Source organism: Homo sapiens, chromosome 8 (assembly GCF_000001405.40).
Source record: "Homo sapiens chromosome 8, GRCh38.p14 Primary Assembly".
Lineage (NCBI taxonomy): Eukaryota > Metazoa > Chordata > Mammalia > Primates > Hominidae > Homo > Homo sapiens.
In genome coordinates, this window is record NC_000008.11 from 127,394,329 (window position 1) to 127,420,793 (window position 26,465).

The 26,465-nt window shown below is 41.9% G+C and overlaps 1 protein-coding gene and 2 long non-coding RNA genes across 4 annotated transcripts in view; 2 read left to right on the plus strand and 1 right to left on the minus strand.

Moving 5' to 3' along the window:
- Positions 1 to 26,465, minus strand: part of CASC8 (cancer susceptibility 8) — a 192,464-nt gene that overhangs the window by 104,653 nt on the left and 61,346 nt on the right. The window lies entirely within an intron of this gene.
- Positions 6,071 to 7,822, plus strand: CCAT2 (colon cancer associated transcript 2). The gene has a single exon (NR_109834.1). It is a non-coding gene; the product is annotated as a colon cancer associated transcript 2 (long non-coding RNA).
- On the plus strand, positions 19,119 to 22,896 carry POU5F1B (POU class 5 homeobox 1B). Of its 2 annotated transcripts, NM_001395745.1 has the most exons (2): positions 19,119 to 20,694; positions 21,115 to 22,896. In NM_001395745.1, exon 2 carries the CDS (start codon positions 21,539 to 21,541, stop codon positions 22,616 to 22,618), a length of 1,080 nt encoding a protein of 359 aa, NP_001382674.1. In that variant the 5' UTR covers positions 19,119 to 20,694; positions 21,115 to 21,538; the 3' UTR covers positions 22,619 to 22,896. The 2 variants fall into 2 exon arrangements, with proteins under 2 accessions (NP_001382674.1, NP_001153014.1); NM_001159542.3 differs by lacking the exon at positions 19,119 to 20,694 and having other exon boundaries at positions 21,539 to 22,618.

Here is a 26,465-nt window from a genome sequence, read left to right on the forward strand (position 1 = left end):
TTCCCAATGTCACTTCACACTCAAGTGGAAGAGCAAGGTGGCCAACCCAAAGCCCACGTTTCTTCTCCTATAGAAGTCTTCCTCGTGGCTGACTGCTTGAAAATTTAGCCAGGTGTTAAAGGATCAAGACTGGAAGTGACTGGTGAACCATTTGCAGTGGTTCCAAAGGAGCCCTGCAATGGAAAAGAAAGGAGAGAGAGAAACTCCATGTGTGGAAGCTTGATCTCCTTTGAAAAGAGCTCAGCTTAAAGGATGATATCATGGGGACTGTCAACAGGAATCAGAGATGCATATCCAAGGGCAGAATCTAATTTCAATTCCAGGACGTTTCATGAAACAGAATGCAAAGCAACAATTATCTGCTAAATGGAAAATTAAAGGCATAAATAAAGTCAAAGCTCAAACCAGTGAGGCAAAAATCACACGGGCTCCAATTTCCTTTTGCTGCTTGTAGCTGCAAGTTTGAAAGGAAGGACACATGGGGATAGTAAAAATATGAGAGCAATGGACCACGTTTAATCGATAGTGAAGGCTCTGATCCCACAAATGCTCCCCTTCCCACTATTAGCCCTTCCCCACCTACTGCCAAAACCCAGCAAGCTGAATGGAGCAAGACATCTGAGAAAGAGGCCCCTGTTCTCTCCATAGGAACTTCACTTTCCTATAAATGTGCTCCAGCACTGAGTAAGTTCTGGTAAAAAAGAGCTTTATTTCCCCAGACTCCTTGTTCCTCCACTTCTGCCAAAATACATTTCTTAAGTATTCCAACCTGAAACACACACATGCACACACATACACACACATATGCTGCCAATTTCTTGGTATTTTGTCAATACTGACTTTGCCCCTTTTCTAAATCTTCATCTCCAATTAAGGCTTCCTGTTTGATAGACAAGTGGTGACACATGACACAGAATAAGCCCAGTGGAAGACTTTGTTTCCCACGGGTCCATATGTAAGACACTGGGTCAAGTGTCAAATGCTTTGGGCCATGATTTACAACCAATGCTTGTGACTTCCACCCCTCCCTCACCCTCTGTCTTCCCTGCTCTCCTTTAAATTCTTCCCCACAAGTGTGTTTCCAATCTTTTCCCTCCTCTTGATCCCCACTGCCTCTTTTACTTGGACCACTGCAAAGTTCACCACTTCAATTCCACTCTCAAAACAGCTGCAACAATGACTTTTCTAATCCATAAATCTGATTATATTTTTCCTTTGTTCAGAAAACACAATGGGCTCCCATTGCCTACAAGATAAAGACCACCCTCTATGGCCATGCCTACCAGGACCTTCATCAATAATCCCCCTTAACCTCCTCCACCACTGATGTCATTCATTTATCTTTTCACTCATTCATTCAAAACCATGAAGCATCCACTGTGTGCCAGCCATCATTCTGGACGCACAGCCAAACTAAACTTCTCTTTCCCAAACACTTCCTGCCCTCTTACAACACTGCCTTCTCACAGCGTTCTCTTTGCCAGAAACGCTTCTATTCCTCTTCTATCAAACTCTCATTCACCTTTCCAGATTCAGCCTCCTCGGTGTGTCCTCTGTGAAGCTTTGCCTAAGACAGACACACGCATGCACACACATGTTCCAAGCAGGTTCTGTCTTCTGTATCCCCACCCACCATGGTTTTATGAAATGACCATGACTTGTATCACTTTGAGAAATCACTGCCTGCTTGTCTGTTTCCTTTCTAAGGCAAAGATTGTATCAACCTCAAGGGCAGGAGAGCATTATATACTTTTCTGTATACTTAACTCACTGATTGGCACATAGGAAGTGCCTGTGAATGTTTGCTGTGAATGTGAACCTGCCTCCACCACCTGGCAAAAAAACCACTTAGCCATTCCAAGCTATTCTGAGGAGTGAGCAAGGTGAGTGGCTACCTACCCAATGACACCTTTCCCATCATGAAATTTTACCATCACCACCAACCTACACCCCAGTCTCTGCAATTGCGCCATTAGATATTTAGTTCTCTGTACACACCACCTTTTTTTATCTTTCCACTCTTGTTTTCTGATCCGGGAAACACAGTCCTCAAGAAGACAGAACCTGAAGTCAGGGTGCTTCTATGAACCCACCAGCTTTGCCATTCTACCTGGGCAACCTGGTATCATTTCCATCCTTCACTCATGAAATAGGGATCCTCATAATACTCAGCCTCACAAGGTGGTTGTGAGGATTAAGGAAGGTGGTACTTATGAAGTGCTTAAAATAGTAAGTGGCACACTGTAAGTGCCAACTATGCTAAAGTATTTGCTATTATTGTTGTTGTTGTTCTTATTTTCTACCCAGTCCTACCTTCACCTTCCAAACCAAGTTTTTCATAACCCTTAAACTCGTCTTTCCCTTTCAGGCTTTCCTGCTATTTCTTACCTTGAACGTCCTTCTCTTTCACCTGTTCATTCTTCATGATGGAGCTCAAGTCTCCTTCATAAAGGCACCAAAGACCACTCCTCACCGATTTGTCTCACCACTGGAGCCTGTGCATGCCCAGATCCCAGCATTTCCCACTTGTGGTTTACAGTCCGTTTCTCCTAGTAAGTCCAGAGTGCTGTGACTTCAGGGACAGTGTCTATGCACCTAGCATAGCTTTTCTGAAGTCCTTCCCTGGGCTAGGCATTGCGGCAGCTTCTGAGGATACCATGTAGCTCAAGCATAGTCCCTGCCCTCAAGAAGCAGACAAGAAACTAACCTGAAAGTCTATGGTGATGATAAATGTGATATCATATGGTCCCTGCCCTCAAGAAGCAGACAAGAAACTAATCTCAAGGTCTATGGTGATGATAAATGTGGCATTGTTCTTGGCAACTACAAGGAAATCAGTGAAAAGGGGAGGACAGAGAGAAGAAAGCCCAGAAAAAGGAAAGAAAGCAAGAAAAAGAAGGAGGGAGGAAAGAAAGAAAGAAGTGAATTGAGGCCATGGAGTTACTTCAGTTGTCAAATGTTCCACTGGAATATATTTACAACTATGAAAAGGAATCACTTTCACTATTCCAGACACATTTTTGCTGATTCCTTTAGCACAGTGTTTCCCAAAGAGTGGCCACCATGCCCCAGGAGGCATTTGACCATAGTGTGCAGAAGGATATTTTAAATTGTAATAATTGCGTACTTCAACGTGTGTTAGTACTAAGTTTCTAGCCTTTCAAACCTATCTTTTCATGGATATTATTGCTTTGTTTAGAGTGAGTGTAAACAAATTACAAGTGAGTAAAACTGAGGGGTTCTGATTTCATGTCTTGCCTAGAAAAGAGCTTCTGAGGAGAAAAAAATCTAGGTCTACCACCAAGGGAAGGGAAGAGCTAAAAGCCAAGATTTCAGAAGCCAAGGGCAGACCTTTGGCTCTCACTCTGCCTGACCAGCACCTTCAAAACATCTATGCACACTCAACAGTTAGAAAGGGGCTCCTCGTCTGTTTTTGGTCAGCAGACTTCAAAAGTCTCAAATGCTCTCAATTCATAGATAGAGAGATGAAAGCCAGGAAAATTAAATGTTATTAATATTTCACTAGTTTAGACTAAATCCATCTGTAGAAAAGGTAGTCTGACCAACTGCGCTTTTTAAATAAACTTTGTTACTCCCATCACAGAACGTGTTCCACAAAATCAGCTTATGTGAGTAATTCTTTTCCAGCCTTAATCTCAAACCCCCAAGGAATCTCATTTGGACTCAGCATTTGTGTATAAGCAACAGCAGAACAAATGGTGCAATAGCTCATTAATATCCTTCTTGGCAGGATATGCCATTAAAACATATACATCAAGTTATAGTCATGATAGGATCACACCTCATTTTAAACAGTACATGGGGCTCTGCTACCTGCAGGGTGTTAGCCCTGGGAAACAAGCAGCTTCCAAAAATAAAAATGTCTAACCTGCTCATTATCTTGCAGATAAATGACTTTGTGCATCTTCCTCTTTTTCTCATGCTTACTTTTCCCTTGTATTGTGCCAGGCTTCCTGTACCCTGTTATTGTAGGATATTGTCCTGACATGCTACAACACAACGTAGTATAGTGAATATTGACACAACCAGAGCACCATGGCAAACACACACACACAAGAAGAGCAAACTGAAGACTTTCTCTATTGATTCAGGTAGCAGAACAGCCTGAGGCCAGGCAGTAACATATTTGATTAACCTTCAGTATACCAGAGATTCCTAACAATCCTCAGCTGAGCATTATTGCTGTAGCCAAAGCAGGAACTCCTCTGAACCAAAGAAGGTCTATTGACATCATGCTCAGGTAGTCGGTCAGGTAGATTGATTGCTCATCCACTCCTAACTCAGGTGGATTGTCCACATCTGGACGACCTCATCCCTGGTCACTGTCAAAGCCACTAGTTGAGTGAAGACAGGCAGTTGGTGTCATTCAAGACTAAATGATCACCAGACTAAATTAAATTATGTGTTCGTAGCATCCCTAAATCCCCTTCTCAGTACAGAAATTGTCTTGCGTGTTAGACACAATTTTATTTGGAACTGGCAATGAATTTTTTTCCTGGCTCTCACCCTTCAACCAATTGGTTAACTCCTATTTCTTCTTCAGATTTCTGTTCAGAAAACACATCTTCAGGAAAATCACCCCTGACTCACCCAGGCTAAGTCACAAGCTTTTGTTATAAGGTCTCATCACACCATATGCCTCTCTTTCAAAACCAGCACCTGCAGAAATGTAAGTGTACATTGATTTATGTAAGTATTTGAATTATGACTGTTTTTGTATATGTCCATGAGCTCCCTGAAGGCAAGTACTTTGTCTGCTTCCGCCTGTTTCATAACTATCATGCCTAACACACAATAACCTCTCAATTAATAGCCAAGTTTATTAGCAAAAAAAATTGACTGAAAAAGTGAATGAACGAAAATGTTGCTACCAACATAGGCATTATAATGAGATGATATCAGTGATCTGAGCTCTGAACAAATTTATTCTTCTCTTCCTGGGTACATACCTGAATTATATTATTTCCCAATCTCCTTAGAGTTAAAATATAGTGATGTGACTTTTGAGACATGTGACTTCCAGGTCTGGCCCTGGAATCTCCAACATGTGCTTCTTCAAGCCCCTTTGCCCTTTTGGCTAGCTGAGATTAAAATCACCATAGCAATCTTAGAAGCAGATGTTAAAGATGACTTAGTTCTGTCAGCCTAGGTCCCTCAATGAGCACATGGAGCAGAATCACCCAACAACATATTCAGCCATCTTCAGAACTGTTAAATTGAACAAGAAAGAAATTTCTGATAAGTGTGAGCCTTTATGTATATGGAATTTATTTGTTATATCAGTTAGGGTTACTTGAAGTAATACAACTCTTCCCAGTGATCCTCAACTAGAAAAGAATTTGGAGGGCATGTTAGAATCTCATGGGAAAAGGGGCAGTTGGAAAAATCTTCCGAAGTATAATCACTGTCTTATGTACTTTACAATAAACGCAGAAATTTAAAGACATATTTGACTAGATGAAAGGATTTGTGGAGGTATGGAACACACACATTCACCCACATGTGTGGACATAGAAGGCAGATACAACAAAAATTACGGTTCATCACCAATAGTGGCAGAGGATGGGTTTCGAGCCACTTCCTTTCAAACCAACCACAACGTCATAAGTGATCACCATCATTCTAGTTCCTGTGAAGAAGAGAGAGCTGTGGAAAAAATGCTTTATGCCCTCAAAAGAGACAGCACAAAATTTCAGTTTAAAAGGCTTGCCTCCTATGTGATTCACTAGCAATGAAACCTTGGAAAAATTATTTCAACCCTCTTTTCCTTCATTTGTTAAAAGAAAGTGTTTAAATTTGCAACTCAGCATTGTTTTAATGTTATATGATTCAATTTATATAAAGGGTCTTGTGGAGAGGACATAAAAGTACATCAAGGATTATAGCCAAATGTTTCTTATGCTGGAACAGAGTTAGGTACAAAGGGTTATAGAAACATAGCCTGCCAGGTTGAATAGTAAAGAGGAGGGACAGAGAAGACTTGTAGTAGGAAATAATCCCTGATTCCAGGGCCAAATGTGGGATTCAAATAATGGAGGCCCTAGCAATTCCGAGGTGATCAGGTGGACTTTCCTGGATGTTCTGGGTCTTGACCTGATTGCTGAAAAATGAATACAAATTCAGAGAAGAAGAAAGCTAGTATGAGACTACCAAATGATCATCAGACATTTCTTGAACACCAATTAAATTGCTAGGTATGCTAAAGTTTGCAAAACTGGTATAGACACCAAGAGGGAGGTATCAACAGAGACTCCCCAAGAGCTAAGAGGAAACCACCTTGGACTGGAAGTCAAGAGCCAAAATTCTAGACTCTACTCTGTAATTAACTACCTATTTGAATTTGGAAAAATCACCATCAACTTTCCCAGCCTCGTTCTCTGCATCTGGGAAATGAAGGCGTCGTCCAAATGATTACAAGCTTCTTTTCCTGCTCTTATTGCATGATTCCACTTCCACAGCCCTCCAGCATTTTTTAGCAGCTGCATCGCTCCATAGAGCCTGCAGAGGGCACTAGACTGGGAATTAGAAAACCTGATTTCCCTTCCAGCTCCACCTCTGACCAATTGCCTGACCCTGGTCAAATTGCTTAACCTCTTCCTATCTCAGCTCCCTATCCATAAAACAGAGGGACGAATAAACTCTCCTCCTACCACTAAGAGGTGTAGCCAGAGTTAATACCCTCATCGTCCTTTGAGCTCAGCAGATGAAAGGCACTGAGAAAAGTACAAAGAATTTTTATGTGCTATTGACTTTATTTTATTTTATGTGGGGGAGGGAGCCGGCCCCAGCTGGAAAGCTGCTTTCTCTGAATCAAAGGGCAGGAACCCAGCAAGTTTCTCAGGATTGGGGCCTTAGACTGGGCTGTGTATACAGACAGTGCCAGCCAACCCCACAGTTCAGTTTCCTTTAACCTGGTGCTCCAGGCAATAACTGTGCAACTCTGCAATTTAACAATGTGTTCTTTGTCCCACAACTGTTCTCGTTTCTCAACTGCCCAGGTAATATGTTTGGGCCTGTAGGAAGAGTCAAATAGTTAATAAGGGAAGGGTTTGGCATGCCCTACGTAAGTTCTACCAGCAAGTCCCAACAAGAAGGCATTCTGTGTCTCCTGATTCCTGACCTACCCCCAAAATGTACAAATGTACAAGGAATGAGCCCACTTTCCCAGCAGGCTGTAATACCAGTTTGGCCTATATCAATGCATTGGTGAGCTGTGTTTTGTTTATGGTTTTATGCCATCTATTTTCCCATGGATATTATGTTTTCTAAAGAGCCCTTAAGTTTACGTCAGCTTTTAAAGCTACCAGCAGCACCATTTCAGTTCATATTAAGCCCTTAATATGGTATGAATAGGAGAGCTATTAGACTAAAGAGCCATAATCATCCCTGAGGAAAACATCCATCACCAACATTTATGTGGTCCCTGAACTTCTAAAAGGTGTCATCTCTCTGGGGTGTATCTGGTGAGAGCTTTCTCTGGGAGATGCCAAAAAGCCAATGCATTAGATGAAGCTTAGAAGGGCATTTTCTAACCATTACAAATTGCCTAGTCTAGCATCTCAATTTCATCTACGTGAAGAGCCTTAATTAAATTTGTTGGGGTTTGATCCTTTATCCCCAGATGTGGCGCTGACAGAGATTGCTTACATAAATAATGTGTGCTCCAAGTGCTTGCCAGGCTCCTGGCTCAGCTGGGACAGCTGTAGCTTTTTGAATGTCATTCCCAAGATATCCTGCAGGTGTTCAGCTTCCCCTGTTCTACTCTGGGAAGAGAGCCGTGGGCAACATCAGCCCAGAAGACACTAGTGCATCTTGACAGAGCATTCCCACTGGACAGGTGCACTACCTGCAGACACCTCCAACAGTGAAAGCACCCCCCGGCTGCAAGTATTGTCTCGCCAAACGGAAGGCATTTCTTGTATGAGTCTTGAATCTGATATTCTTTAATAAGACTTTCTCTAAAACTGTATACACACACGCACCTGAAAACGTTATCAGGCTTTTACTTATTTGACAGTAATATTCCAGGAAATGGTCCAAGTAGCAAAATCTTCTCTCAGTGGCTTTCTCGTTCCTCATGTCTGACTTGCTTTCCTGCTGTCTACTGGAGCCAACAAGAGAGGCATTCTCACTCTGGAAGTTGTTAGTTCATTACAGCCTAGGTTGATCTCATCTGGCTCTGGTTGGGGGTTTTATTCTGAAGATTGGCTGGTAAAAGCCTCCACAAAGTCTTAGCTAGAACATTCATAGCCCTGTGTTGACTTCCGCCTCAACTCTGGCTTGAACTTAGCTGACGGTCCTATCAGTTTGCTCAAAGGAGCTTTTTTGCTGCAGGCAACAGAAAGGAGTGGAAAGAACACACTCATTGGAACCCAGGAGATCCAGGCTCGCCTCTGGCTCTAGGACTTGCTCATCATGTGATATCAGATACATGACTTCATCGCTGAGTCTCAGTTTCCTTATCTATGAACCGGGGATATTCATACCTTCTTCACAGGACAAGAGAGGCACATACAAGTTCATATCTGTCCCTCTATTTCAAGTGATTCTCCCACATCAGAACCAGTTTGGCTTCCCCGGCCTGGTCTTCTTTCAAAGGATGCACAAGGCCATTTACAACTGGCCTGAGGAACAGAAGAAAAACTTTGGCAAAGCCGTTGCAGATAAAACAAGGATGAGACACAAAAGCAATTTTTATTCTTTTTCTGGTTGAAATCCAATCAAGGAGAAGAGTGCTCCTTTGATTCTGTATGCTATTATTATGCCCAAAGCTGAGAAACTAGTGTTTGCCCAACACATTAGAGTTCACGTGACGAGCCCATATCTATGATGGTGTTTGATACCCAGGCTTGATTAGTAAGACTAAAAAAATTGCCACCACTGCACAAGTGAGGACAGTAAACCTCAAAGGAGTCAAATAACAGCCTGAAGTTTATGTAGGTGGATCAAAGAAACAAGGCTAGTCTATGAATCCAAATCTGGGGTGCCTTCTCCTCTTTTATTGCCTCTCTTGCTCCCATTGGCCTGCGGGCATTCATTATATACTTCAGTTTGTTAAATGTTAGGAAGAAAATCTAAAAAGTAAATTGCTAACACAAAGCAAACAAATGAAAATTCCAAATTGATAGCCTGTTTTCTACCACAAAAACGACATTATGTCATATAAAAAGCTGACACCACCTGCATTGCTAGTTCCCTCTATCACCCCTTCTTTCTGACCCTCTCTTTAGACATAAAAAGGGCTGGTCATTTTTAAATGATCCCATGATCCCTGGACTCTTTGACTTCTCAAGGCTTAGACTCGTGCTTCCTGGAATGTCCTTCATTCCTCTCAGGCTGGTACATTCCAAGTCTCCCTTCAGCACACAGCCTACATGTGAAGAACATGATCGCAGCCCTCCAGCAAGGCCGGGTGAAAAGAACCACTGCCTTAGAACCCTGCAGATGCAACTTTGGTAAGAGCCCTTAGTCCTAGGTTTGGGACCCTGGGAAGATTGCTTTACTTTTCTGAGAATCAAGGGAAAAGTATACTGTCCCTCCAGCAGTGATGGAAGATTAAACAAGAACATATATAACAACAGCACAGCATTGCTACTCAGTACCACTCAAGAATTGCTACTCTACTTCCCCTCCTTCCTGCTTCCTCTGTTCTCCAGAAAAATCCTATATGCCCACCAATTATAGTGCTAATCACACCGTATTGCAATCATCTGTGTCCTTTTCACTAGACTGCTAGTAAGTTCCTCAGTGACATGAAAACAGACATTTTTATCTCCATGCCCCAGAACTCAGCTGGACATTCATTAGGCATTCAATACATGGTGAATGAAGAAGCCATATAAGAGCAGGAAGTTATACAGAAAATGTTTCCCTTTCTTTGCCTAGGAAAAAAAGTATGTTATCTCTGATTTCTTTAAACCAGCTTTGTCTGAACTTTTTGAACTTCAGGTGGCTTTAAATGTTGGTTCTAACTGGACGGCTCAAGCCAGCACGGATATCTCCATCAGGAATTTCCCATCCACATTCCACAAGCAACTGTGTCTGTGCACAAAGTTGGAGGGTAAATATCTGAGTAGAGTTCCTCCTTCCTGGATCTGCCAGCCCAGCATGCATATGGCTCAACAGTTCTTAAGCTGGGCCAAGAATCCACACATTATAAAACTGACATGAAAATAGGCACTAGCCAGATGGAATGGAAATCAAGCAGCAGATCTAAGGGAAGCAGGGAATGGAACCAAAGAACAGTTCTCTGCCTCTCACCCCTTTGTGTCCATCTTGTGAAAATCTAAGCTCATTTGAGATCATTAGAGGGTGGGTGACCACAAAGCCATGAATTATTTACCCTCTCTTTACATCAGTTTCCTCATCAATGAAATGCAGGAATAATATTCTCCATAAAATAGGGATATTATGTGGTGGCAATATCCTCACCCCATCAACTATTTATTTGGATTAGGCTTTCCCTGTGCAGATCCAGCCTTGAGTGACATCTACCCTAATTGCAAAATAACTCTGAGAACATTTCATGAGTACCATTAGGCACCATTGCCTCCTGCGTAACCCCATGAATAGGACCATTGCATCATGTCACTGTTTCTTACCCCACTATGTGGGGCTGTTTTCTTCTATCCTAAAATAAGATGTTGCAGGATAAAGATGCACCCTCTATTTAGTGACGGAAAAATGCTGGGATTCTTTCTAGGACAGCAGCATTCCAGGGACAGGGGCCTTGAGGAATAGAGGGACTTATTATAAACTCTAGAATGCCAATTTCAGAAAAGGTGTGTGGCATAAGTGTTTCTATGGTTTAGAAGAATACTTGGTGAATTATGGAGTATGAATTAGAGGAGGGAGATGGTGGTTGCTGAGAGATTAATTAAAAAGTTTTTCTATAGATCAGAATGAGAGATGATAGGATCCTGATTTAGGCCACTAGCAAAAGGGGGAAAAAGGAGAGTGAAATATGTATACTTTGAATGTAAAAGCTGCATGGTTTGGGGACCAAATTTACAAATGGGAATACAGTAGAAAGGGAAAAGAAGCAAAATAGCTTATCTTAACACAATTAAATATATTCCAAGCCTCCTTTCCCTAAGAAGCCAGGATAAACTCACCTATTTGTGACAAATGTTTTGTCAAGATAATATTTGTTCAATAAGATTTCCTTCTTAAGATATTTTATCATTTAACTCACCCCCAGAAGAACAGAATTAAATAGTAAAAGTGATTTGGTCATTAAACAAGAGGGTTAGACTGATCACACCAGCTCTTGAAAGTCATTTCTGTAGTTAATCATATAAGAACGTTGACTCCTTAGAATGGTTGAAATGGTAGTATTCCACTCAGAAAAGCCTAATCTAATCCTGGAGCACCAAGGTTACGAACCTGAGGCCAAGGTTTTAAATTCCAACTCACTCAGGACGAGTACTTTGTAGAGACTTCATCCCTGACCTAGGTGGGCCATCTCCAAACAGAACCTTTGGACAGTTCCGTGGTCAGCTTTTATCTTGCATTTTAGTAAAATAGAAACAGTTGTCTTATGTGTGTAGCATTTAAACATTCTAGAAAAAAAGAAGAAAAAAACTGGGTTCAAAAGCAGTGGAGTTGGTGTATAGAAAAAAAAAAAGCATAAACCTCAGGATTCCTCATAAATTCCATAGGATTCTCCTAGGTAATAAGAAAGAAAAATGAAGGAGAGGGAGATTATCACTGGATATGTTTGGACACAGGGCTTTGGAAAGCTGATCGGATTGATGTGTCAGTCAGGCTCTTAGCAGGCAATAGGAGCACACCCAAATTAGGGCTCTTTGAAGGGAACCACTGCACTCTAGCCTGAGCAACAGAGTGAGATGAAAGAAGGAAGGGAAGGGAAGGGGAGGGGAGGGGAGGGGGAAAGGGGGAAGGGGAAGGAAGGGAAGGGAAGGAAGGGGAAGGGGGAAAGGGGGAAGGGGAAGGAAGGGGACGGGGAAGGGGAAGAGGAAGGGGAAGGGAAGGGAAGGGAAAAGAAAAGGCACTATTTACCAAGTGTGAACAGGACCCCAGGAAATCTTAAGAATATTGCAGTACCCCAGGGTTCATTATAGATTTATACATCAAGGCTAGAAGGGGAAAGTGGATAGAGTATTTACTGAAACCTGGAGTCAAAGAGGGCCCAGTGGAGAAAGGAGCCTAGAGCTTTGGTCAAGGTTACCCTGCAGGGAGGGAGCATGTGAGTCATCTTTCCAACTCCACTCACCTACTCCCTTCAGTCTTCTGTTAGTGCTCACCCTTGTCTGAACCCAGGTAGACATCAGAGACATGAGAACCTGTTGATTTAGTCCATACAGGTCAGTCTCCTGGGGAATAGAGCAAGGTAGAGGAGAGTGGAAATGGCATCAGAGAACTGAATGGAAGATACACAGCTCAAATGCGTTCCTGAGAACCCTTACATTCTATGACATCCTAGTTAATGTGCACTGGGTTGTACCAAAAGCTGCGCCTATTCAGCAGCAGTTCTCAGGCTGATGTGATGGTAGACATATGCAGTGAGATTCTCAAAGAATGTTTTTGGGGTAATTCAACTGTAATAGCAGATTTCAGAATTTTGTTTATAATCCTAATGAATGGCAAAGATCCTCTATGATTTAAGGGGAATTTTGCTTTAACATCCACTACTCTACAACACATCTGTGGATTGGGGCTGGCCAGGTAGTATTATACTCATTTTCCAGATGAGGAAACACAGCAATCTCTTTGCCCATCTTAGTTCACAAAGCTCAGTGAAAACTTGTCCCTGGGTTCTGTGCCATGAATGCCAATGGCCTAGGTCTACTTCTTAGCTTGCCTTGGGGGAAATAAATTGAAAACAATGATTTCTCTGAGGAGCTACTTGTAGGAAACTCATCAGCTTTAGTTTCAGATACTTGAATAAGACGCTAGTGTCTCATTCAGCAAGTCCATCTATCATCCAACATTTTTGTAACCCTCCCTTCTGCAAGATACTTTGCTAGCAAATGAGTGGAAAGAAGAGGTGAGGAGTGTTAGGATTTGGAGACTTGGTAACAGCATATCAGATAAAAATCTTGTCCTGCCCAGTGGGAATTTACAGAAAAAAGAAAGAAAAAAAGGAAAGAAAAGACACCATTTACCAAGTGAACAGGACCTCAGGAGACCTTAAGAATATTGCAGTACCCCAGGGTTCATTATAGATGTATACCTCAAGGCTAGAAGGGACAAATGGAGAGAATATTCACTGGAACCTGGAGTCAGAGAGCCAGGTAGAGAAGGAACTGAGAGCTTTGGCCAAGGTTACCCTGAAGGGAGGGAGCAGTTGATTCTAATGGAGAACTAACCCAGAGGCTCATCAACAGGAGAGTGGAAAATAAATGGTGATATATCCATATAATGAGTAGTATACAACAATAAAGGGAATAAATTACTCAGGCATGCTGCAATATGGGTAAATCTTAAAAATAAATTAAGCCAATGAAACCAGACCCAGATATATACTGTATAATTCAATTTCCATGAAATTCAAGACCAAGCAAACTAATCTCTGTTGATAGAAATTATATTAGTTATCTCTTGATGTGGAGACTGAGTTGGAAGGACCATTGAGGACACTTCCGGGATGGTGGAAATGCTTTATATTTTTGACTCAGTTGTGGTTGCATGGATATATATATATATATGGATATATATATATATGGATATATATATATATATGGATATATATATATATGGATATATATATATATATGGATATATATATATATGGATATATATATATATATGGATATATATATATATATATGGATATATATATATATATATATATATACCTGCAAGAGAAAAATCATCAAGTGGCATCTATAAAATTGGTGCAATGCATGTTTATAAATTAGATCCTAACATTTAAAAATAGAACAGGAAATGCTACAGTGAAACATGCATAGTGATTAAAATGCTGTCCTTCCAGCAGTTTTCTTCTCCACATGAGTAATGCCCTGAGAGCCTTATGCATGTGTTTTGGGGAACTGAACTACATGGTTGTAAAGAGCATGGGCTTTGCTGAGTGACAGATGTAGCTCAAATTCTAGCTCTATCACTTCTTAGATGTGTGACCTTGAACAAGTCATGTAACTTCTCTGAGCCTGAGTTTCCTCCTTGGTAAAATCTACCTCCAACATATAGTGTTGTTGTGAGAATTAAGTAATAAAATGAACGAAAGAACTTAGCCAACTTCCGGGAACATTCTATGCTCTCAATAAATATAGGCTACTGGTTATTATCATTGTTATAAATGCTGCTTTTCTGCCCTCTGCTCCACTTTACCTGCAGTGAGGACAATTCAGAGAGAGAAAAGGAGGGTGGACAGAGGGAATGGATAGTATCTGTGAATTTTCTTTTCTTTTGCTTTTCCAGCAGTTTCTTATAGGGCACGTTTGAGGCTGACTGCAGTGGAAGATGTAACTTACTGGACATCATAGGGACATGGTGCATCCTGTCCCTATGATGCACCATGCCTGGCCTGCGGGCCTTCTTAATATGCAGGGCAATGGCCAGTGCTGCTGTCCCCCTGCACGCAGACTTGTCACAGTGGCACTGTGGGGCTCTGCTGGACTCATCAGTGGCTCCCTCACCCACAGCCTTCACAACTCTGACTGGAATTCTTCGCAGAGCCAGGGCACCTAAAGGCAAAAGGTGAGGCCCCCGTGGTGTCTGCCAGCCAGTTGCTTCCATAATAGAGTATTGATCTCCACCAGAAGAGTTTCAAGCCCTGTACACCTAGCATTGGCCATTAAAGGCAGGCTTCTGCAGATGGTAAATCCATCAGCTACCAGTTTGACATTAACAAGCAATTACAATGCAGTCCCTGTGTTAGCTCCACTAGGGGATATCAGAGTGATTGCTTCAAGTGGAGAAAGATGGGGGAAAAAATTTGATCAGTCCAGAGTGCTTCTCTAGAATTCAGGCCACTGAGGGTGAGACTATATGGTGTAGCAGAATGAGCACTCGACTCTGAGTTAGGAAATAAGGGAGGCTATTACTAGTGATCTATATCCATCACTTTCCTTCTGTGAGCCTTTCTGTCTTGTTTCTAAAGCAGTGGTTCTCAAGCCTGGCTTCACATTAGAATCACCTGGGAAGATTTTCAAGCTCCCAGTACCAAAACTATGCATCAAACCATTATATCACAAACTCTGAGGGCGAAACCAAATATCCACAGTTTTTAAGGCCCTTCAGGAGCTTTCAATTTGCAGGCATAGTTGAAAACCTTGAAAATATCTGGAGACAGGTAGCTGAAATTAGTGATCCTTAAGGTAGTAATGCATGACTTTCAAGAACGTGAATCCTTCAGGTGCAAATCATCTGAGGATCTTGTTACAATGCAGGTTCTGACTCAGTAGTTCTGACTTAGTAGGTGAGAGATCCTGCAGTTTTATAAAAGCAACCAGTGGATAGAGCCGCTGCTGGTCCTGGGACAACATTTTGAGTAACAGGAGCAAAAAGGTACCTTTTCTCTCAAAAATTTGAAAAGCCCAGTGCAGCACTGTCTAATAGAACTTTCTGCACTGAGTACAGTAGTTCACGCCTATAATCCCAGAACTTTGGGAGGCTGAGGCAGGCAGATCACTTGAGGCCAGGAGTTCGAGACCAGCCTGGCCAATGTGACGAAACCTCATCTCTACTAAACATACGAAAATTAGCTGGGCACAGTGGCACACACCTGTAGTCCTATTTACTCGGGAAGCTGAGGGATGAGAATTGCTTGAGCCTGTGAGGCAGAGGTTGTAGTGAAAAGAGATCGTGCCACTGCACTTCAGCCTCCGTGACAGAGCAGGACTGTTTCAAAAAAAGGACTTTCTGCACTGATGGAAATTTACTATGTCTGTGTTTTCCAATATGGTAACAAGCAGCAACATGTGACTACTGAGCACTTGAAATGTGGCTAGTGCAACTGAGGAACTGAATTTTAAATTTTTATTAAATTTTAATTAATTTAAATTTAAATAGCCACATGTGGCGACTTGATATCACAAGTCTAGAGGTTTTAAAACATGAAGCATATAACATGGCTAAGATGGGGTGTTCATACTATCTACCCACGAGCAGGATTACACATGCTCTTCTCCAGAAATAGGCCCCAGTCCATGGCAAGAAGTTCTCTTCCTGGCTCAAATTAAGCCCAAAGTCAATATGAACAGAGTGTGTTGACTCTGGGTGGACCATGGGAGGAAAGTGACTAGAGACGCAACTGAAGAAATAATTACTGTACTGAGCCTCCTAGAACAGGCTAAGGACCCTGAGTTTTAAAACAAGGGCAATGGCAAAGATACGGCCACACCATCATGACAGTAGAGAGAGGGAACACTTAATATTACCCAGAGCTGGCAGGGAAGACAACCAGAAGAGCAACATTTGAGCTGATTCTTAAAAAAAAAAAAAAAAAAAATAGAGATACACGAGAAATCCAAATTAGGATAGAATTCCAGAAGAAGGGAGTAGCATGTGCAAAAAAAAAAAAAAAAAAGGAAGCAAAAATTAGCAAAAAGAAAGTACTAAGTGTATGTCAGAGAGTAGGGAAAGTGAGGGTCTTAAGAGGCCTTGAGAAGTCCAACCTCAACAACTACAGACAACAAAAGACAAAACCCATGGTGACATACCTTTTCTTATTTTAATAGATAACAGACATTATTATTAAGAACATCTTAAGAGGTAGCTTCCAAACAGGGTCACTGCCTACAGTTATACAGGGGGCACACTACCCAATTCCAAGGCAGCGGTTTGCATCAATATAATGTAAATGGCATCCCATGGAGCAGTGCAATATGCCAGCCCTACCCCCATTTCTTTCCTTTTTAAGTTTTTTCATTAAAGTTCTTTCTCTTCTGGACAAGAAAACCCTATGATAATGGAATCTTCAAACTGAAAGCATCTATAAAATGAACCCCAGATTCCTGGGGCTTTAGACTTTCGTTAACCAAATAAGATGAGGAATTATGGGTGTCTGATGTGCCAGGTACTATTCCAATACTTAAAATATATCATCCCGTATTTCTCACAGTAGAACCATGAAGTAGAGACATTACTGCATTTTCCTATGAGAAAATGGGACTGAGATGGTTAAGGTGGGATAGTATAGGTAGAAACTGTTAGAACAAACATACTCAGTCTTAACTAATTTCTAGATCCATGCTTTGTCCGCTCCTTTGTTATTCCTTGAAGATGTTAGGGGAAATTCATTAGTCCATTGCAATAATGTACAACTCCTGTGGAAATAACTTACACGCCTATGATTAGAACACATAGGTTCAGACATCACAAGGCTTTGATGTGCCTGAAATTCTATCAATTTACGGGGCAATGCTAGTTATCTCTTGGTGATTTGTGCCTCTGTTTGGCAGTAGTCTCTGCCTTAGATCCCTTGGAAAGAGAGAAACTAATTCCTTAAAATTTTGTTTATTTGCCATCCTATCAAAATATGACTACCTAGGGGAAGAATAATTAAGTGGATCATTAATGGTGTATTTACCACATCCTGACTGGAATCATAATTATTTGCTTACCTGGATGTATACCACCCTCAGTTGTCCCGCAGTAAGCTCACCCAGCTTCTCTATGTTAATTTTCAACACCATCTAAGTCTTCTTGGGTAATTTAGTCCACTACAGTAGCTTTACAGATCACACACATGATAGTTATGGCCAAACCTGTATCTCCTTCCTTAATATTTCGTTATAGCATCTAACACATATATCCAGCTGACTCTAAGACTCCCACTCCTAAATGTCCTGCAGCTCCCTCTACCTTAAAATTTCCAAAACTATGTCAATTCTCTTCTCTTCTAATCTTGTTTTTCCTTTTGTGTATTATTTCTCAGTGAATCAGACCACCACCCAAATAACCCAAGAGTCTTCTTTGATTTTTTTCTCTGTCTCAACATCTCCAAACCCCTCTACCCCACCTAGCCACTTCCAGTCTTATCTTTTATGGTGAGAACCAGCTTCATGTAACAGAAACTCTAAAAAAAATCAATGATTTAAATAACTTGGGTATATAAATATCTCTCTCATACTAGAAGATCAGAGGTGGGAAGTCTGAGCATGATATAATGGTCATCAGGGGTCCAAGCTTCTTCATTCTGCCTCACCATCTCGCTTGCAGCTTCTGCCTAATGTTGACTTACAGTTCAAGATGGCTTCTGGAGTGCTACCATTACATCCATGTTGTAGGCTAGAAGGAAAAGGGCAATGGCCTGAAGAGGAAGGGAGAGTTCCTGTTAACTCAGCTTCCTTTAAACAGCCTCCCCAAAAGTTTCACGCTGTATTTTTGCTGATTCTCATTGGTCACAACTTAGTGCCATGGAAGACTAGTAAATATAGTCTTTTAGCTGGATGGCCTGCTATCTTATATAAAATGAGGTTAGGTTACTAAGACAGAAAGGGAGAGCAGATCTTGGGAGGCAGCTAGCTGTTTTTGCCATCCCAAGTGTTGTGATTTCTACCTGCTTTCAATTTAACCTATTTGCCAGTTTCTCTGCATCCAACCATCATGGTTCTAGTTGAGGTCCAACCTCAGAGAAATAGCTACTTAAGTGATACTGGGATACTTTGTACAGAGCAAAGAAACCAGTCTTTATGCCACTTGGAATGGATTTTTCCAATTGTCCTGCCCCCACTGAAAAAAACTCTTCGTTCAGAAGAAATAATGACCAATGACGTAAGAAGGACTAATGTTTCCACCTGCCTCTCAATTTAATAGCAAGAGATTCCACATGTCAGACAGGAAAGAAGGCTAGGAAGGAAAATGAGCATTAAGATTAATAATTGATGTTAATACTGACAACAAAGACAAACAATGGTGATAAATGAAATGGCAGAACCAAGGAAATTGTTCTACTGTGATATCTTTCTTTCAAGCAGGTCAACTGTATAATTACCAAACTCAATTTCATCAGGAATTTCATCAACATCAGAGCCCCTGGGCCACCAGTCTTCAATGTTTGCTACCAGTGTGTTACTGTCTGCTTGTCATTATCTAGAGACAAAAATGGAACATTACAATGGGCTTTATGACCCTTCTGTACCTCAGCATTTCCATCCTGCCCCCTTCACCTAGCTGTACCTCATTATCTATCCCAGTGCCTGGCCTGTGATATCCCTAGAAATTATTATTGCACTAAACTAAATTAAACACAAAGACTTAGTTAGCGGATTCACAATTTTTAGTTGTACTACATAGTCAAACGAGTAGACGTTCAGGTCACAAAATCTAGCCTGTCTCCCCATGAAACCACAATGCCATTGTCTGAACAGATTAAATAAAGCAGAGCATCACCTCAAACGATTTTCATGGTTCAAATCTAGGTAGCTATACTTACCAGCTGTGAGGCTTAGGCCAACCTATTAACCTTCTATTTCACTTTTCTGCTAAATGAGACAATATGGACTTGACTTCATTTTGTGAGAAATAAATAATCTAAGTAACTGGTCAAACACATTTTGTGCTTCTTAAAAAAAGGTGGTACACACACACACACACACACACAACACCCGATATAATACAATATTTTCAAATGACACTAGAAATATTTTAGTCAGGTCTAAAGGAACAGAAGTTAATGATAAAATGATAAACAATAAATAATAGCTACTGTTTCATGAGAAAATTACACACATCTTACTTGACTTAAACCTCACAACAGAATTGAGCAGAAAGTTATTACCCTGAGAAAGGGGACTTAAGGTTGGCAGGATAACAAGTGGGAGAATCTAGAGGTAAAGTCATATCTATCTTATTGGAAACACTCAAGAACGTCAAATAAGCATGAGAATTTGAGCAAGACTGAAGGAGAACGTTTAAGTTCCCTTTCCAACTCATATCCCAATTCTGGAATCTAATTTCTGTAACAAGTAACTATATTCCTTACTACAGAAGTAAAGATGGCCCCATGGAGAAACTGGCAGCATGGCATGATGGAAATGGAATAGAATCAGGAATTGTTTTGTACCTGTGTGTGTGTGACTTTGGTGTTCTGACTCAGACACATATTTGAGAGGTAGAGAGGGGAGAAGAGGGTTGCCACATTATGTAACAGAAAGGAGCCCACTGCTTAAACACTTACCTTGTGCCAGACATTGCACTAGGACTTTATTACCTGCAACCCATCCTGCAAAACTGTGAAGATTTGATATGATCATTCTCATTTTATGGTTGAGAAACAAGGGTTAAGGACATTAAAAATTTACTCAATGTTTAAACATTTGCCTGTCTTATTCTAAAGCCCCTTCTCTTTTCACAATCCCTTTAAGAAATGGACATCCAATATTTGAGTGGCAGAGGCAAAAACATGGCCTACCAGAACCATTATGATAGCTTTACAATATGCCCACCAATTATTTGATAGTCCTCCTGCCAAATGGTGAAGGCTAATTACCCTCCTACAGAATGTGACTCACTTCTAATGAATAAAATATGGCACAAGTAAAAGTGTGCGATTTCAGAGACTAGGTCATAAAGAACGCAGTGGCTTCTTCCCTGCTCTCTCTTTCTTAGGTCATTCTCTCTGGGTGAATCCAGCTGACATGTTGTGAGGACACTCAAGCAGCTTTATGGAAAAGCCCACATGGTGAGCAACTGAGGCCTCCTACCAACAGCCAACAAGAAACCGGGGCCTTTGCCAACAGCCAAGTAAGTGAGACATTTTGGAAAGTGGATCCTCCAGCCCCCGTTAGGCTCCCAGATGACAACATCCCCTGCTCTCATCTTGACCACAACCTCATGAAATACCCTTATCCAGGATACCCAGTTAAGCCACACCACAATTGCTATTTTACAAAACTGTGAGCTATGTGTTAGTTGTTTTTAAGCTATTAAGTTTTGAGGTGATCTATTACACAATGATAAACAACTAATACACCCATCCAGTGCTGAAGAAAGGGGTTGTCAGGAGGGTAGAATTTGCACTATTAAATCTTCATAGAGTGCTATTTCCCGTCACTACAGCACACTTGTCACCAACTATAAAGAATTAGGTCAGGGAATTTCTTTGGTTGCAGCCCATTTTGCCTTTGGTTGTTAATGGTAGAACCGTTTCCCCACAATCTGCAGGAAATAAGAATCAGAAAGAAGGACACACCATTCCATAGCACAGAACACAAGTAGATGGCTCCCATGAAGAATCTAGCATCATGGTATGGCAGAAGCAGAATGGACTCAGGAATCATGGTGCCTACACTGGAATTTCAGATCGGCCACTGACACAATGGACACATTATTCAACATTTCCAAATCTTGGCATTCTTATCCACAAAGTGAAGATAATAATTGTCAATTCACAGGTGATTATGATTTAAAGAGATTACTTTTGAAGAGTTCCTAACACATTCAGTCAACATTTAATGATGCTTCAGGCACTGTGTTCATTGCTAGTGAGCGTATGACACACACAGCCATACGGTCACAGAGCTTTCAATGAAAAGTAACATAATTGCTCATTTCACCAGGCCCCCGGCTTGGGGCGCCTTCCTTCCCCATGGCGGGACACCTGGCTTCGGATTTCGCCTTCTCGCCCCCTCCAGGCGGTGGGGGTGATGGGCCATGGGGGGCGGAGCCGGGCTGGGTTGATCCTCTGACCTGGCTAAGCTTCCAAGGCCCTCCTGGAGGGCCAGGAATCGGGCCGGGGGTTGGGCCAGGCTCTGAGGTGTGGGGGATTCCCCCTTGCCCCCCGCCGTATGAGTTATGTGGGGGGATGGCGTACTGTGGGCCTCAGGTTGGAGTGGGGCTAGTGCCCCAAGGCGGCTTGGAGACCTCTCAGCCTGAGAGCGAAGCAGGAGTCGGGGTGGAGAGCAACTCCAATGGGGCCTCCCCGGAACCCTGCACCGTCCCCCCTGGTGCCGTGAAGCTGGAGAAGGAGAAGCTAGAGCAAAACCCGGAGAAGTCCCAGGACATCAAAGCTCTGCAGAAAGAACTCGAGCAATTTGCCAAGCTCCTGAAGCAGAAGAGGATCACCCTGGGATATACACAGGCCGATGTGGGGCTCATCCTGGGGGTTCTATTTGGGAAGGTGTTCAGCCAAAAGACCATCTGCCGCTTTGAGGCTCTGCAGCTTAGCTTCAAGAACATGTGTAAGCTGCGGCCCTTGCTGCAGAAGTGGGTGGAGGAAGCTGACAACAATGAAAATCTTCAGGAGATATGCAAAGCAGAAACCCTCATGCAGGCCCGAAAGAGAAAGCGAACCAGTATCGAGAACCGAGTGAGAGGCAACCTGGAGAATTTGTTCCTGCAGTGCCCGAAACCCACACTGCAGATCAGCCACATCGCCCAGCAGCTTGGGCTCGAGAAGGATGTGGTCCGAGTGTGGTTCTGTAACCGGCGCCAGAAGGGCAAGCGATCAAGCAGCGACTATGCACAACGAGAGGATTTTGAGGCTGCTGGGTCTCCTTTCTCAGGGGGACCAGTGTCCTTTCCTCCGGCCCCAGGGCCCCATTTTGGTACCCCAGGCTATGGGAGCCCTCACTTCACTGCACTGTACTCCTCAGTCCCTTTCCCTGAGGGGGAAGTCTTTCCCCCAGTCTCCGTCATCACTCTGGGCTCTCCCATGCATTCAAACTGAGGTGCCTGCCCTTCTAGGAATGGGGAACAGGGGAGGGGAGGAGCTAGGGAAAGAGAACCTGGAGTTTGTGGCAGGGCTTTTGGGATTAAGTTCTTCATTCACTAAGGAAGGAATTGGGAACACTAAGGGTGGGGGCAGGGGAGTTTGGGGCAACTGGTTGGAGGGAAGGTGAAGTTCAATGATGCTCTTGATTTTAATCCCACATCATGTATCACTTTTTTCTTAAATAAAGAAGCCTGGGACACAGTAAAAAAAAAAAAAAAAGAAAGAAAAGAAAAGTAACATAATTGAGTAATAATTTTTTAAGTGTGGTAAAATGTGTGGCACGTAGTAGGTATTCAATAAATACTTGCTTTTTTCCTCCTTTTTACCTTTTCCTAGAGTGCTACTTGATGGTAGCTGTAGTTTTTCTTCAAGACATCCTATTTGTCCTGATACAAAACCTCTTTTGACCGCTAACGGCATAGTTCGGCCCTCACCATTCCCTCACATATTCCACAAAAATGTGAGCATTAACCATTCCCCATGATACAGATAATTCATTTTTTAATTTAATTTTTTAAAATTTTATTTATTTACTTATTTATTTTGAGACCAGGTTATGAGACTGGCTAATTTTTGTATTTTTGGTGGAGATGGGGTTTTGCCATATTGTCTAGGCTGGTCTCAAACTCCTGAGCTCAAGGGATCCTCCTGCCTGGGCCTCCCAAAGTACTGGGATTACAGGCATGAGCCATTGCACCTGGCCCGGATAATTTTTTTTCTTTTTTTGAGGTAGTGCCTTCCTTTATAGCTCAGGCTGGAGTGCAGTGGTGTGATCTCGGCTCACTGCAACCTCTGCCTCCCAGGTTCAAGTAATTCTCCTGCCTCAACCTCCTGAGTAGCTGGGATTACAGGCGCCCACTACCACGCCCGGCTAATTTTTGTATTTTTAGTAGAGATGGGGTTTCACCATGTTGGCCAGGCTGGTCTCGAACTCTTGACCTCAGGTGATCTGCCTGCCTTGGCCTCCCAAAGTATTGGGATTGTAGGCGTGAACCACCACGCCCGGCCCTGAAAATTCATTTTTAAAAGAACATCATATCTACCTTAAATGCATTAAGATTTCACATTAGACTCATTATTCATAGTGAACATTAGGAACTTAAGTCCACTCAGTAATAATGCACCTATTCATGACTCTTGATTCAAAGATGTGCACCTATTTACCCTGGACCAGCTCCTTGGAAGGACATGAAATAGAGGGTAATAATCACATCTTTCCAAATTTGCTATGAAACTGCATCGCCAAAAACTGAGACTCATTTTCCGATTGATGAATCAAATGACAACAAAATCTCCAGGGCATTCTGAAACCCAACAGGGATTAATGATTAGGCATACCAGTGGTAGTTAGGAGACTTGCCCAAATTTCCAGTTTTCTGCAGATGGCATCTAAGTTAGAAGACTGTCATAAATTTATTCATGGCTTGGCTTTCTGCTATTTGCTCATTGGTGACACTTTTATATACAATGGTGTTTCTATGGCTAGGAAATCCCAGTGGAGATCAAGAAACCTGGGTTCTACAAACTAATGGGGTGACCTTTGATTAGTCCTAACTCCCTTCCTAAGCCTCAGTTTCTTTAGACATGAAATGAAAGCAATGGATTACATTGCCTTAGACTTTTTCCTAGATCGAAAATGTGATAATTGTGCCTTTCCAACAATAATTGATACCACTAGTGAACATTCTTTCTTAAGCACATCTATTAAGGACTTCATTTATATTATTTTTCTAATCTTTAAGCAAACTCTGAGATAAGTGACTATGATGTTTATTCCATAGGTGCAAAAGATTTGTCAAGTAACTCTCCAAAGTAAAAGAGAGGGCTGGAGTTTAGACTCATGACTGTTCTGCTCTAACCCAAGTGATTCTGGATCCCAGACTCCCCAAATGACAAGTTATTCCAGAAATACTCAGAAAAAGGAGGGTGCCGTATGTCGCACATGGAAAAATAGAAAAAGTAACAGAATCCAGCCAAAGGATTCCCAGAAATTGAGGCTCTTCTGTTCTTGGCATTTGCATCTTTGGATGTGTGTTTTTTACATTGCTCTATGCAAAAGGTATGTTTCAATGTGATTTTTTTTTTCTCCTCCCATCCTACCACTGAGGAATCACAGGGAATAGACTCGACACCTGTGAACTCAATTTACCCTAGAAAAATGTTTCAGTCACACTTAAAATAAAAAGGGCATCAATTAGAATAAGAAGGACACTTTGTTGCCTAGGAGGACTGAACTTTTTTGGACCTGGGGCACCTTATCAGCTTCATTTTTAGCTCTAGTATAATCAAAAGGTCAGGATCTCCACTGGACCTTAGAAATTTTTTATTTTTCGATAAGATTTTCTGAATGCCTGCCATGTGTGAAGGGAAATGCCTGGACTTCTATGCATATGTATTTCATTGTCTCCCCACATCTACCCAGGAAGACAGGCACAGTGAGCCTTGCATGTTGTAGATAAGGAAGCTAAGTCTCAAAGACAGAGAAGGAATTTCTCAAGGTCACACTGTAAGTAAAAGGCAAAGGAGGGATTAGAACCCTGGATCCTCTTTATTACACCAAGCCTGCCTCACAAGGATGCCAATCTCTCATCACTTACTGGGAAAGACCCACTCCTCCCATTCATGATAAGGTAATGCTATCCAATAAAAACCCCAAAGCAGGCATAAAATATGAAGTAGCGAAACTCAGGCAGGCAGAAAGCAGAGTGGTTTAGACATGGCTGCTGTCTGCAGCAGGGAGAAGTTCCTGGCAACATGACCCTGAAAATAACAATGAGTGACTGAAGCTAAGAAGGAAGAATCTTCCAAGGACTCTGAAACTAGATATTTTCTCAAGCCCCACCTATGGACAAACACAAATCATGGAGAAATAAAGATGCCAGTCTCCAGGAAGCACCAGAGTTAAATTCATTCTGGAATTTAACTCCTGGCATTAACAGTTAGCTGGGAGATTAAAACAAACCAACACACAAACACAAAAAAATAATCAGTGGAAAAAAGTTAAAAAAAATCAATGGACAGTGGTTTCATAGCAGATGGCAAAGAGGAATATTAAAAGCTGTATTTTATTTGGAACTCATTTTCTTCTGATTTCCTTATTAGGTGTTTTGTATATCGAGACCCATAATTCCAAGCAGCCTCCATAAGGTAGAGGCTAAGAATTGCAATTTGTAGGTTAAAAAACTGTGCGTGCAATTCCTTGTTTGTCCCTTGTTTGTCATTTCTCTACCCTTCTGTACTTGGCACACACCCTAGGAAGATGACTTGTATAAACTACGTAAATGAGCTCCTTGCCTTCTGGCTCCTAGTTGGGTTTAGTCAATGAGACCTATTAGCAGGAAGATCGGAAGGTAGGAGAATCTGACTTTTTATTACTTTAAATTCCTTCCTGTCAGGCCTTAAATTGGCTGCAATCTTCCTTTGAAAGTTGCAGCTCCCTTCAGAAAGCTCTTTCTTGCAGCTCTAGCATCTCCCCAGACTTCAGTAAATGCTTCCTCCCTGTGCCCTGAGTCCTAGGCTTAGAGTGAAAATGGGTCTCTGCTGCCACTAACCCTGGGATGCTTCACCCTCCCTTGTGAGTTTCCCTTAGTTCTGCCCACATCTTTGTAAATAGTCTCTTCATGGAACTTTCCTCAATTGCCTCTTTTAAATGTTTGAGCTGGTTATGTTGGGAGGGGCCCCACTATGGGAGGAACAATGACTAAGACACGGAAAGGTTAAGTAGCTTGTGCAAGGTCATACAAATAGCGCATTAGTTAAAGCAATGCTTGTTTCTATAACAAATAAACCCCCATATCTCAGT

Coding starts and splice junctions, on each gene's coding strand:
- POU5F1B (NM_001395745.1), top strand. CDS start 21,539: ATGGCGGGACACCTGGCTTCGGATTTCGCCTTCTCGCCCCCTCCAGGC.